The sequence below is a fragment of the Homo sapiens genome, chromosome 6 (assembly GCF_000001405.40).
Source record: "Homo sapiens chromosome 6, GRCh38.p14 Primary Assembly".
NCBI lineage: Eukaryota > Metazoa > Chordata > Mammalia > Primates > Hominidae > Homo > Homo sapiens.
The window spans coordinates 75,932,966-75,946,321 of record NC_000006.12 but is presented as its reverse complement, the minus strand read 5'-3'; the positions used below and the strand labels follow the sequence as shown (position 1 = coordinate 75,946,321).

The window sequence follows — 13,356 nt, the reverse complement described above, 5'->3', positions numbered from 1 at the left end:
AGACATTTATATTTGATAGAGCAGTGCTTTGAGCAACTTTAAGCAAATTGCCTCCGTACCTTAGTAAACAGGATCCTTAAAAAGACAGACCGCCTGTAGGCATTGAGCCTGGGAGCACTTACTTCTAAACAGGAGCAGCTGAGTAAGCCCTGTGGCTCCCCTAAGAAATCAAACACCTCCTAAATGCCAGTAAGACACTGCCTCTTCCCCGGAAAACTACTTCAGAACTGAAAAGGAACCAGGGGTCTTTGCCAGTTAGGATCAGAAGGCTAATTTCTTCAGCCAATTGATTAAGCTAGCAGGACTTGGAAAGCATTGAAGAAGTCATAGCACAATCCCCTGTCTTCCTTCCTCCCTCAGGGAGCTGACAGCTTACTTAGGGACCCATCCACCAGCACAAGAAGGTCAACGTGAGGAGCCAAGTTGAGGCAAGGGATAACCCAGGTGTGCGGCTGTAGGGAGCAGCTTCTCAATGTAGATGCCACTTAAGTAGTGTCTTAGAAAGAGGGTGGGAAGCTGTGAGTGCACTGCCAGGGCTGTATAAGGGACACTGTTGATATTGGAAGCAAGCACAGCATAGTAATGGTCTTGGGGATCCCCAGCCCTAAATGTTGAATCTTGTGTGGTAACTGCAGCACTCAATTTCTGCAAATGGAAAATGGAGAAATTTTGGCCGGGTGTGGTGGCTCACACCCATAATCCCAGCACTTTGGGAGGCCAAGGCAGGTGGATCACTTGAGGTCAGGAGTTCGAAATCAGCCTGGCCAAAATGGCAAAACCCTGTCTCTACTAAAAATACAAAAATAAGCCTGGCATGGTGGTGGGCACCTGTAATCCCAGCTATTCGGGAGGCTGATGCAGGAGAATCGCTTGAACCCGGAAGGCAGAGGTTGCAGTGAGATAAAATTGCCCCCACTGCACTCCAGCCTGGGCAACAGAGAGACTCCTCTCAAAAAAAAAAAAGAAAAAAAAAAAAGAGAAGAAAAGAAAATGGAGATGGTAACATTATGAGAACTAACTGAAAGAATATTTACAATACTTAATATAGCACTTGACAAATTCTAGTTACTTAATAAACATTAGTAGTTACTATTGCAACATTGTCATAATTAACTTGACTATCAATTTGTGACCTGCTTAAGGTACCAGCAAAAACAGTAAAAAGTAGCGTGACAAGGTATTTGTGGAGGGGGTGGAACTGAAATTATTTTCACTGATTTCTTGTGAATAGTTCTGCTATGCAGCTTTTCTTCCAAGAAGCCAAAGGTGGTAAGCATGAGATGGTGCTAACGTCAGTTTCACTCCCAGCAGAGTCACATTTATGCTGAGCTACCTAAGAATACCTCCAGCCTACTCAGTGAACTATGGCATACATGCCCAATTCTTATTTTTAGTGGTGGAAAAAAGTAGGGGAAAGCCAGTGCCTGCTGGACAACCTGGGAAATTACTTGCTTGCTTTCCAGAGGTAGTTCAACCCTGAGCCTGCACCAACTCAAATACTTTTGAAGAAATTAACATGTAAAGCCAGGAGAAGCAGTGAATCTGAATGAAAGCTGTTGAATGTTGAATGACTACACATGGTAACTACAAGGGAGATACTTTGCAAAAGCCACTGAATGTTACACTAAGCACTTCGGTGAACTTATAGTTCATACTCTATTCCTTACCAGATACCTGGAGAGTGACAAAATCTAAATTTTATATACATTGAAAACTCATAAAATAATAACTCTATGCAAGAGGGCTGCCAAAAACTGGCTATGTTGCACCAGTTAGGACATAGTGATGCTTGTCTTAAGTGATGCTTAGAACATCATTAAGCATCAACCAAATGATGATGGTTCAATCAAAGTGTTTGAGGACAGCAGAATTAGTAAGTCAAATATGGATTTTATAAGTTAAAAATAATCAATGAACTGTATGGATTCATCTATGTAAATCCAAATGGGTAAATCCAATATCCAGCATGGTTCCTAATTATACTACGCTATGCATAGCTAGAAGCCACTGTGCTAAACCGCCCTCAAAGGTTTTCCTTCCAGTCAACAGTGAGGGGAAGGAGGAAGGTACCAGCAGGCAGGGAGGAGCAGGCAAGGAATAGAGGGGGGCACAGGGAATAGTCACTGACTCTGTGGGCTCCTTCATGCACAGCTGGGGATTCTGGTTTAGATATTTCACCAAAGGCGAAGGCTGGGTTCACCCATGTAATCAGGAAGTGGGCACTGGACTGATGATCAGGACATTGACCATCTTCTACATGCTTAATCCAAAACAGCATTCATCCACCACCATATAACATGCTAATGCATGAAAATCCATCCCTGCCCAAAGGAATTTGCACTGTAGTAGAAAAGGGACATCTTAGAACTATGCTGGGATCAAAACTACATCTTTTTCATTCCAAAAGACTTTTTAAGGACAAGTTTCTGTTGTGCCAGACTTCCTACAAATTCCTGTGGGCTTGGGCATCACTAAGGGATGGTCCCATAATGAAGAGGGCACTGAGTTTTCTTTAAGTCTCATTTGTCAAGCCTGAACAGAAGAGAGAATGTAGGAGTAGAAATAAATGAAAAGAACTCTAGTCCCTCCAGGCTGGTCAATGAGACAGCCTTTGGCCGGGGATAGCCAGAACTAAGCAGCCAGCTGCAGCCACTAAGGTCCAGGGCTGGGGAGATGGAATACCAGCTGTCTTTTTCTGTTTGTATTGCTATAAAGGAATACCTGAGGCTGGATAATTTGTAAAGAAAAGAGTTGGCTCATCTTTCCGCAGGCACCAGCATCTGCTTCTGGTGAGGGCCTGAGGCTGTTTCCACTCATGGCAAAAGGCAAAGGGGAGCCAGCATGTGCAGAAATCACACAGTAAGAGAGGAAGCAGAGGAGAGGGTGATGCCAGGCTCTTTTTAACAACCCAGTGCTGGTGGGAGCTCACAGAGTAAGAACTCACCCCTCCCTCCCAGGGAGGACATTAATCTACTCATATCATGAGGGATCTGCCCCTACGACACAAACACCTCCCATTAGGCCCACACTTCCAGCATTGGAGATCAGATTTTTAATATGAGATTCAGAGGGGACCACTAACCATGCAGGGCACACAGCAGTACGAGCTACCATTGGGGGGTGAGGCTGCTGAAGAGGAGGAGATAGCGACCCCAAAGCACGTGGTAGTCAGGTGCACAAACACAGATTCACAAACACCACCCTCACTCACACCTCCTTTTTCCATTCAAACCCTTGTTCCAATCCAGGGAGGAGACAGTACTAAAACCCAAAAATTCTCACCACCATTGCTTTTGAATAGAGTTAATTAACTTCTTAATTCTATGAATCTGCGTATCTTATAAAACTTTGTGAACATGAAATTTAAAATACTGTTCTAAAAAAAAGCCTGTACAGTTACAGAAAACTGTTTCTAGCATCAGTACTCCTATACAATTTTAGTCTGAGGAAATACATACAAAATTATTATAAGAGAAATGCATATCTAAATTTTAAAACACATTAACGGAAAATGTGCAGATGATTTTCAATCATTTTCTTCCTCTTTTTTAAATCTAGCAATATGACAGCTATTTTGCTCCTAGTTTTTCAGTGCGATTGGCTGATCCAAATTTTCTCCTTTTGGTGGGATATTTGCGTGTAAGCCATCATGGTGACTGACGGGTGAGCTGATTAAAATGTCCCTAGTACAACCAACCAGTGCAACCAGCAGATCGTGCTGTCTCTCAGGACCCTGGATCCGGAGTGAAGATAATTACTTCAGATTCCTAGAAAAGAAGGACTCAAATTCCAATTTACACAGCTCTTGGCTCTATTGCTGGTGTGGACTTTTCAGTTACAGAAGGCTTGGGCTGATACACAACAGTGCCCATCCTCCAGCATGTAGTAAGCGAGACCCAAGAGAAAATGATGCTCAAAATCCCTGATGATAACAGAAGGTCACTTAAGCAAATACAGGAACGGCCCTGATTCAGGTTTTGATCTTTCAAGTATTTACTTGAACTCAATGATGATGATCCAATCTGCTGAGAAAATTCTCCTTGAAAGAGAATTAAAAGGGAGAAATCTTTGACAAGAAAAAAAGGCAGCTGCTGGAAATTCTGTATATCAAGAATAAATACTTAGCTTTGTCTCTAGGAGAGAATCTCAAGAATCTATCCTTGGAAAATAGAGAAGGCATCCTATCATTTCAATGTTTTCCCAGCCAGGATAGTCAACTATAGCAAAACTGCATTACTGGATTTCTTACCCTTTCACCCTTCCCTGACCACCTTCGTAGTAGACATAGTTTAGAGGTAGTGGTCCGCAACACTGAAGGGTAAGAAGGTCCTCCCACCTCAGGTCCAGTGTCCCCCCAGCCTCCAGAAACACCAGCCCTACCCACTCCTGCCTCCCCTAACCCTTATCAAAGAATCACCCTCAAAATGTAAAAACCATAATTGTCATAAAGGAGATACTGAGCACATGTCAAAGTCCTATTTAATTTTGAAATAAGGGAATTGGTAGGATGACAAAGCTGGTTTAAAGAGAATATGAAAAATTGGAATTTTAGGTAGCCAGAGGACAAGAGAGAATGATGAAATGAGATTGGTAAATGTAAAACAGAAACTACAATCATTGCATCATCAATTTTCTCTACACTAATTTCTAATTTTATAGAGTTGTAAAACGTCTGGACCATAATCCATAGTAAATAGTGAGTCAAACAAAGTTATTGCTTTCCATGCATCAGCAAACTTTTTCTTTAAAAGCCAAACAGTAAATATTTTAGGCATTGAAAGCCAAAAGGCAAAAATTATGTAGGTACTTACATAACTAATTAAAAGTTAACCATTTAAAAATTTAAAAAGCATTCTTAGCTTGCCTGTTGTACAAAAGCAGGCAGCTGGTCAGATTGACCCACAGGTGGTCTCTGTTTACTGGATGGGATTGTTATATTCTAATATAACATTGAAGGTCACACAGTCAACTTTTCTCCTTATTTCCAAATATTGGATCATTTTTCTTAAACCATCAACAATTACTCAAGCCTGTTCCTCTCCCTGGCCTTTATCTTTGCTGTTACAGAAAAGTTAGATAAGTAAATGATAATGTAATCATGATTTGGGTACCTGTTCACTCATACATGCAGTGAACATTTATGGATTATCTGCCATGAGTCAGACACTATGATAGCCACAAGGACCAAAAGATGAATCGACCCCATCTCTGCCCCCAAGGAGCTAAATAACTAATGAGAAAAATGGAAGCATATACAAAAAGACATAATAGAGTCTGTTAAATACTGGAATCAGGATGTCAGCAGAAAGAAATCTTATGAAGTAATGAGGAGAGAGCAATTAATTCTACAGAGGTGAAGGGATATCATAGCAGGCATATACAGACAGTGATATTGAGCTGGGTCTTGGTGTATGATGGTGGTGGGCCCAGGAAGAGAAAGGGGGTGAGGGACTATTCCAGAAGATGCAAGAGGAAAATGCAGACATTTCTGGGAGTGCCAGGTTTCTTCAGTTACTCCACAGTGATGACAGCTTTATTTACAGAACAGGGAGTGAAGGGAGCGAAGATAGCTCAGATTGGAAGGAAGGGAAAGCCAGGCTGAGCCGGTTCACTTAAAGCCAGGCTGTCTAAAAATGCCCGTCAAATCTATTTGCTTCCACTTTTGGTGTCTTGTTTTTCTTTTTCTTTTGTTTCCTATGACTTATGGTCTTTTAAAATTAAACTTTAATAAAATTTTGGAAAGCTCAAAACGTTTTCCAACTAAGTGCTAGACAGTCCTTAAAGTGTTCTCAAGTAAAATAAAAATAAAACAGTTTATCATTCATACAATACTGCAAGTTTGGAAAAACTTAGGAAAAATATAAAATAGGTACAAAGGGTGGTGCGTATATTAATTTGTTTTTAATTTTAAATGCAATAAATAAGGCAAAAATTAATAAAATCCATTAAATATTTTTAAAAGACTCCAAAAATATTTGAAAGAAAACCAGTTCTAAGGAAATAGACAAGATAGATTGACTCTAGCCTATGAAGTAGGTGTCTGGAGGCCAAGGGAAAGCCAGGGCTGAAAGTATACATTTGGGAAACTTCAACTGAAGCCAGAGAACAGATTTTTTAAAATGGCCAGGGGCAATGTGTAGGATGGGAGGAAGAGCTGTGAATGGAACTCTGAATAACCCCAACAGTTAATGGGGAAATAGAAAAATTACAGTAAAGGGAGCCAAGAAATAGCAGTCAGTGAGGTGAGAGACAATGTTGCAGAAAGTCACAAAACAGAAGAGCAGAAGAGGGAGCTTCTTTAGCAGCTGTGAGTGAAAAGAGTAGAGGGCACTTAAGTGGACAGTTCAAAGGTCATCAGAATGCTTTACAAAAGCAAATGGAATAGCAAGGGCAGAGAGGCCAGACTTCAGTGAGGCTAGAATGAAATGGAAACGGACAACGTCAGCACAGGCTGTCTACCTCTTGTCTTACAACTTAGAGCAAGGCGCCCTCCAATGTTAGGCTCCTACCTTTCCACAGAGACAGGGAGAAAGTTGCTAAGTTCCTTGAGGTTTACATTTTAAAGGGATGGCGCCCAGGACCTGGAGCATAACATTCCAGAGTTGTAAAGGTGGCAAGAGGGTTTTTAAAAGGTTTACATCTCAAAGGAACATAGAATTTGCAATTACAAGTTCTTTTAACTAACTGCTGTAAGAAAAAGGAGGTTGTCAAATGTCCAACAATGATAGACTGGATTAAGAAAATGTGGCACATATACACCATGGAATACTATGCAGCCATAAAAAAGGATGATTTCATGTCCTTTGTAGGGACATGGATGAAGCTGGAAACCATCATTCTCAGCAAACTATTGCAAGGACAAAAAACCAAACACCACATATTCTCACTCATAGGTGGGAATTGAACAGTGAGAACACATGGACACAGGAAGGGGAACATCACACACCGGGGCCTGTTGTGGGGTGGGGGGGAGCAGGGAGGGATAGCATTAGGAGATATACCTAATGTTAAATGAAGAGTTAATGGGTGCAGCACACCAACATGGCACATGTATACATATGTAACAAACCTGCACGTTGTGCACATGTACCCTAAAACTTAAAGTATAATTTTAAAAAAAAGAAAAGAAAAGAAAAAGGAAGTTGAGAGCCTTGTGGAAGAAGTTTGTCTTAAGTTTAGTGAAGGCTGGGAGCGGTGGCTCACGCCTGTAATCCCAGCACTTTGGGAGGCTAAGGCAGGTGGATTGCTTGAGCCCAGGGGTTCAAGACCAGCCTGGGCAACATGATGAAACCCCTGTCTCTACACACACAAAGCAAAAGTTAGCTGGGTGTGATGGCACACGCCTGTAGTCCCAGTTACTCTCATCACTGCACTCCAGTCTAGGTGACAGAGTGAGACACTGTCTTGGGGAAAAAAAAAGTTTAGTGAAGCTGAGGGGAATATTAAGGCTGTCTTGGTCAGTATAGTATTTTTTTGTTTTGTTTTGTTTTGTTTTGTTTTGTTTTGTTTTGAGATGGAGCCTGGCTTGTCGTCCAGGCTGGAGTGCAATGGCGCGATCCCAGCTCACTGCAATCTCCGCCTCCCGGGTTCCAGTGATTCTCCTGTCTCAGCCTCCTAAGCAGTTGGTATCACAGGGGTGCACCACCATGCCTGGCTAATTTTTGTATTTTTAGTGGAGACGGGGTTTCACCATGTTGGCCAGGCTGGTCTCAAACTCATGGCCTCAAGTGATCCACCTGCCTTGGCCTCCAAAAGTGCTGGGATTACAGGCATGAGCCACCACATCTGGCCCAGAATAGTATTTGCTGTCTGTGCCCCAATTTTATTGTATTTACAGGCAATGCCCAGATAATTTATTTAGTATCATTTGCAAAATTTAAAACAAATTCCAATTAAGTCTTTCTCTTTTCTTTTGCTTAATGTCAGGGTAGAAAGCAGTTTGTGGTCACAATACTGGGAGAGAGATAACATTATTCCACAACCACTTTTGAACTAAGGAGAAGAGAGAATTTGAAAACTCTCATGGGATTTTTAGTTAATATCATTCCACATTCAGATCAGCATGTGAACTCCTGGATGCATCCTCTAAATGAGGATTAGCAATCCATTAGGCCAAATAACATCTGCAGAGGTGCAGGCATGTAGGAGAAGCAATGTGCTGTTATTACTGCACTAGGTGTGCCATTCCCCTTTTGAAAAACCCCTGGATAAATGAATCTGTGATATAAAAAGTATAAGCCAGTGTTAGAACTTTCTGTGATTTATCAACTGAAAAACCGAGTAAGTCACAGCTTGCTCAGTATTCTGCCAGCATCTCCAGCAACTAGAGTCGTCTTTCATTTAGGCTGCTGTGAAAATTCTTCAGAAGCATGTAGGGCTTTTATGCCAGTTAGTTGTGCAGGCTGAAGATTTCAAAAATGCAAAACCACATATAACTTATTCTCTCCTTGAATTCCTAAGAAGCCTCCTCAAAAATGGACAGCCCTCAAGGCCGGTAAATGGTAAACACTGAAATTAATTACAGTCTGACATCCAGGATGCATTTACAAAAATGTGGCTCAACGAGCTTGTTTTCCCTGGAAAAGGCATAATTTGTAAGACCTTCGACATCTCTGAAAAAGTGGTATATGTCACTCATCACAATAATGATAATAATAGTTACTATTAACTAATGTCAATAATAGTTACTATTGACACAAATTTTAATCTTAATAAATATGCAAGGTAGATATTATTTCCCCCCACTGTACAGCTGCAGAAATTGTGTTTCAGAGAAGAATAAGTAATTTGTCTTTTGCTGGTCAAACTATTACCAAACGCTGCAGATGGAATTCAAAGCCAGATTTGTGTGCCATCTTCAACTCTACCCTATAACTTCTTTACAAAAAGGAATCTTATAAGCCCTTCTAACTGGGTTATAGAGGCTGTTTATTTAGAAAAAGTGACAACACACTTCAGTTTTATTAATCCTAAATGAATTCTGTTAGTTTCTACACTTCGCCAAATGAAATTTCTTATCATATTTTGTCATAGTCTTAGAATGCAAAAAAAAAAAAAGTGTTTACTCTCAGAAACAAAAGTCCTGAGTGCCCAAGAGTCCCCTTTATATGCACTGCTAGGAGTGTCCCTTCCAGCTGGAGCAGTCATAGGAATTCTCCTTCCAGGTGATTCTCCTCAGCCTCTCCCCTCTTCATTTGCCCCATCATCTCCTACATCCCTGGCCCTGTCTCCTGGGGTCATGCTGCTGGCCCTTTGCCTCCTGGGACACGCAGCACTGCAGATTTTCTGTTTGACATTTGCCTTCACTAGAGGCCCCAACACTGGTTGGACTGCCAGACACACTTCACCTCTCTCCAGGGTTTCAATCTGTGCCCTCATTCCACACCCCAACCACTGCATGGAGCTTCCTTAAAAGGCTCCTGGAGCTGTTTGGCCAACCTGTTAACACAAAGCCCTCCACACAAGTCCGGGCTTAGCCCAGCTGCAGGGCCTCCTCCCAGCTCCCCCAGTGTCAGAATTCTCCCTCCACCCGCTGATCCTGGGACAATTGGCCACCACCCTAGTGCCAATCCATCCAGAACACCTCTGTTTGGCAGATAATAATAATGGCTGAAAGCTGAGACAATTCTTCAACCTCACATCCAGGGCAAGATGTGTGTGGGTATTCACACATCCACTCACACAAAAAAGGATTATTGAGAGTCAGCTGTGGTGGTGCTTCTTGAGAGTGGTGGAGAACTGAAATGAAACCTAAAGTCTATCACATTACTTGCCACTTTAAACCAGAAAGAACTCTTGTTAACTTAATTCCACAAATGTGTATTAAGCTCCAAACATGTGCATGGTGCTGTGCTATGTGCTATTTATCATTGAATATTCTCACTCTAATCTACCTTTCAGCAATAAGCCATAAGCCAAACATTTTATAACAATAAAATAAGCGATCAACAAAAACTTAAACATATATATTTTAAGATTTCTTTGAATCACTGAACTGCATCAGCATTTCTGGAGGTATCATGAGCCACCTCCGTTGGCTTTATGCCGTGGAACACGCAGAATGGGAGACGTATGTTTGAGTTGGAGGGACATTAGTGATCACTTGATTTAAACACTCCATTCTATGGAAGAGAAAAGTGAGAGCCAGAGATGCTAACCTATGTTCCCAAGACCACAGACAATTTCTAGAAGCCAGGCTTTCCCCGCTAGGGCACTGTCCTGAGGCTTCTTCACTGGTAGAACAGATGAGCAGGTCCACTCTCTCTGAAGGTACAAACATCTCACAACCTTCTCAGGACTTGGTGGAAGCTGTGAGGTCCCTGTGTAACATCTCAGATGAACCCTCAGTACAGGGACGTATTTATTCAAATTACTAAACTCGAAGCCCCAAGCGCTATGTAAAAGTGATGTTCACACATTGAGAAGAGAACTGTCAGACTACCAGGGCCTCATTAAGACTTCCTGGGCTCTAGGCCCTTTGCCTTCATGACTATTAGTAAAGAATATTAAAATTATACCTTAACTTCGTGAGCACAAAAATGAATATAATCCAGTACGGGTTGCATTAATTTTTTCTTCTGATTTTAAAGAAAACATTTTTGTGGGCTCCTAAAAGCATGGCGGGCCCCCAGGCTGTGCCTCCTGCAGATTGCTATTGATTGTGATGCGTAAGTTTGCCTTTCTCTGATGCCCCAGGCAAAGGAATGACCCCTTCACCTCCTCGCCACCAACAAAACCATGACCACAAAGCCTTGGTGGTAAGTGGGGAAGGGGAGGGCGAGGAGGCCCCACAGCTGCCCGCAGCAGCCAGCAGGAGCGAGCGAACGTGCGGCGGGGTCGACCCCCCAGCGCCGACGCAACCAAAAATCTGTCACTTTGTTCAGGCGTGAAGCTTTGTCACGCTGGGCGCCAGGGCGTGGCAGCGCGGGAAGCGTTTGGATTCCAGAGTCTTAGCTCTGCCTTTTTGAAATGGGAAAAGATGATCCAGGAGTTTTCACCACATTACCCCCGCCAGGCAGGCCCGATCTGCCGCTGTAATCACGGAGTAATAATGGCTCTATCAGCAGTCCCCTGGAGCTGCTCCTGCTACCGCGTGAATCCCTTGCAGACCTCGCTTCCCTCCACCAACGCGCAAGGCACAGTGGTTTTTAAAGTCAGAAATCAGCTGGGGTGCTTAAAATGTCATTCCCGAAGTCTACTCTTGCTTCTTTTGCTATTGAGCGCCATCTAGCGAGAACTAGGTTTCATCGCATTGGAAAAAACGTCCACGAAAGAGAGACCCAACGGGACCTCAGCCCAGCCAGCCCAGGTGAAGCCTGAATTTTATAGGCAAGCTGAGCTGAAACCTTGCCCTTGGACAGGATCCAATCAAAGGAGATGTATCACTTTCTGTCCAACACGTGAGTAAAATGGGACAGCGCAAAAGCAGGAGATGATATGATAAATGTTAGGGAGATAAGGCACTCAGCACACAGCCAGTAGGACATGCGGCAAGAGCAGGACAAGGTTGAGGGGCGGGACGGGAAGGGGGGTGTAGCGGAGGGCACGATCTTGAGTTGGAGAAAAAGGAGTGAGACCTTCTGAGGTCTGGCAGAGAGGGAAGGCCTATTTTCAGGCCTGACAAACATGAGTGCACTTGGGACCAGAAACAAGAGGCTTGAAAAAGAGGCAGTCTTGGACCAACAGGGACCTATGATCTCCATGAATTTATAAACTTTTTGATGAAAAGGACCATGATCTTTTTAACTTTGACTGTAAAATGCCTCAAGGTGTTCCCTGCAGGCAGGGGACATCATTTAAATGCTTTTTGATCACACGGTGGAGAGCTGGGAAACAAACTTCCTCAGTCACCAATTGGGATTGCTTTTCAGTACCTTTGAAATGCACACAGAAGACATTATGTAAGCAAATCCAGGGAAGAAACTGATACATCCGATGCCCTTACACTGGAAATCTCAGAATGATACAAATATTTCCAAGCCCTACATGGCAGCTCACTTATTTCAAGACATGTTCATTGCTGTCACATTTAAACAACAGGAAAAAACATTGGAGCCACTGTAGTGTCAGACTGTACTTTCTACAAGAAACATTCTGCCTCATGAAAGGGTGCAGCAGACAATGGATTTGAGCTTTTGTTTAGTTAAGGGAACCTTTATTCAAAGGAAAGCATTCATGGAAGTCTGATATGTCTGCCAGTGAGGATGGCAATGAAGATGTGGTGGGGTGGGGGGGCTCTCACTCTTTTTCCCTCATCCCTTATGAGCCCCTTGGAGTCCTGTGGTGTCTCCTGGAAACCCCATATTTGAAAACCTCTAGAATTATTTAAAAAGCCAAACATTGTAAACAGATATGAATGTTAATCTTGGATCATACTTACTAGCTAAAATGGGCTTCCGTTTTCTCACCGATGAAAATGATGTCGGCAATATCCATATGGATTTGAGAGGTGCTGTGAATATTATTGAAGACACATGTTGAAAGTGCCTGGCACTGTGCCAAACACATAATGGCCTTTGATAAGTGTGAGCTCCCTGTTTATGTAAATAACTGCCCTTTCCACTGAAGCTGGAGGTTCAGGGTCATGATCCCCAGGGTCACTCCAGGGACAGGGCCTGAAATGCAACGACATGTCTCTTCTGAATACAGCCAGAATCTACTGGGATGCTAGTAGACTAGGCCCGGACCTCTGGCCAGGCTGGACCTGGATCTTCCCACCAACTGCTAACGAGCAGCCACTGACACTGTTCAGCTTGCCGAGGTCAAGTGCCCTGGACTGTCTCTGTGGAGAGACTGTCAAATATGCTGTGTAGAAGAGCTATCCTCATGGCTTAAGAATAGAAAGCTAAGTCATTTTGCCAGCAAGCAATTATAGTAAGCCCAGTGAATGCCCCAAACCATATTATGTATTTATTAAATGTGGTACAGGATCATGGTGAAATCTCTCTATAGTACCAACAGTAAAAATAAATGGTTTGAAGGGAATTCAAACAAATCCAGGCAGTGAAGGCAATTATAGACCAATTTGTCTACACACCAATCATGAGGATTTCACTTCCTCAGACCCAAACACAATTTGATCATGACTTGAAAATATTCTTCTAGACAATGGCATCTACTTTTTTCTCCTGAATCTGCTATTGATCTCAAGTCTCTTTGCCCCCTTCTTTCCAAGCTTTCGACCACATTCAGAACAAAACATTTTCAGTTGTTGCAGCATAGCATATAGATTATTATTGATCAAATCAATAGCAAAGAGTAGGAAGTTCAAACTAATTTGTCTTGTACATGTGCTCTGGGATGTATTAAGAAAGAGACAAGAGACCAGGCGCGGTGGCTCACGCCTGTAATCCCAGC

General features: G+C 42.7%; 1 protein-coding gene across 2 annotated transcripts in view, besides 3 other annotated features; it reads left to right on the top strand.

The window, feature by feature from the left end:
- IMPG1 (interphotoreceptor matrix proteoglycan 1) overlaps positions 1-13,356 on the top strand; it is a 151,549-nt gene that overhangs the window by 126,341 nt on the left and 11,852 nt on the right. The window lies entirely within an intron of this gene.
- Positions 8,935-9,434: an enhancer, noted in NCBI's record as "H3K4me1 hESC enhancer chr6:76646605-76647104 (GRCh37/hg19 assembly coordinates)". NCBI's record gives its function as "activates a minimal SCP1, AML or CMV promoter by ChIP-STARR-seq in naive H9 embryonic stem cells {active_cell/tissue: H9 hESC(naive)}" and the evidence as "EXISTENCE:reporter gene assay evidence [ECO:0000049][PMID:30033119]".
- Positions 9,435-9,936: an enhancer, noted in NCBI's record as "H3K4me1 hESC enhancer chr6:76646103-76646604 (GRCh37/hg19 assembly coordinates)". NCBI's record gives its function as "activates a minimal SCP1, AML or CMV promoter by ChIP-STARR-seq in naive H9 embryonic stem cells {active_cell/tissue: H9 hESC(naive)}" and the evidence as "EXISTENCE:reporter gene assay evidence [ECO:0000049][PMID:30033119]".
- Positions 10,745-11,356: an enhancer, noted in NCBI's record as "NANOG-H3K4me1 hESC enhancer chr6:76644683-76645294 (GRCh37/hg19 assembly coordinates)". NCBI's record gives its function as "activates a minimal SCP1, AML or CMV promoter by ChIP-STARR-seq in naive H9 embryonic stem cells {active_cell/tissue: H9 hESC(naive)}" and the evidence as "EXISTENCE:reporter gene assay evidence [ECO:0000049][PMID:30033119]".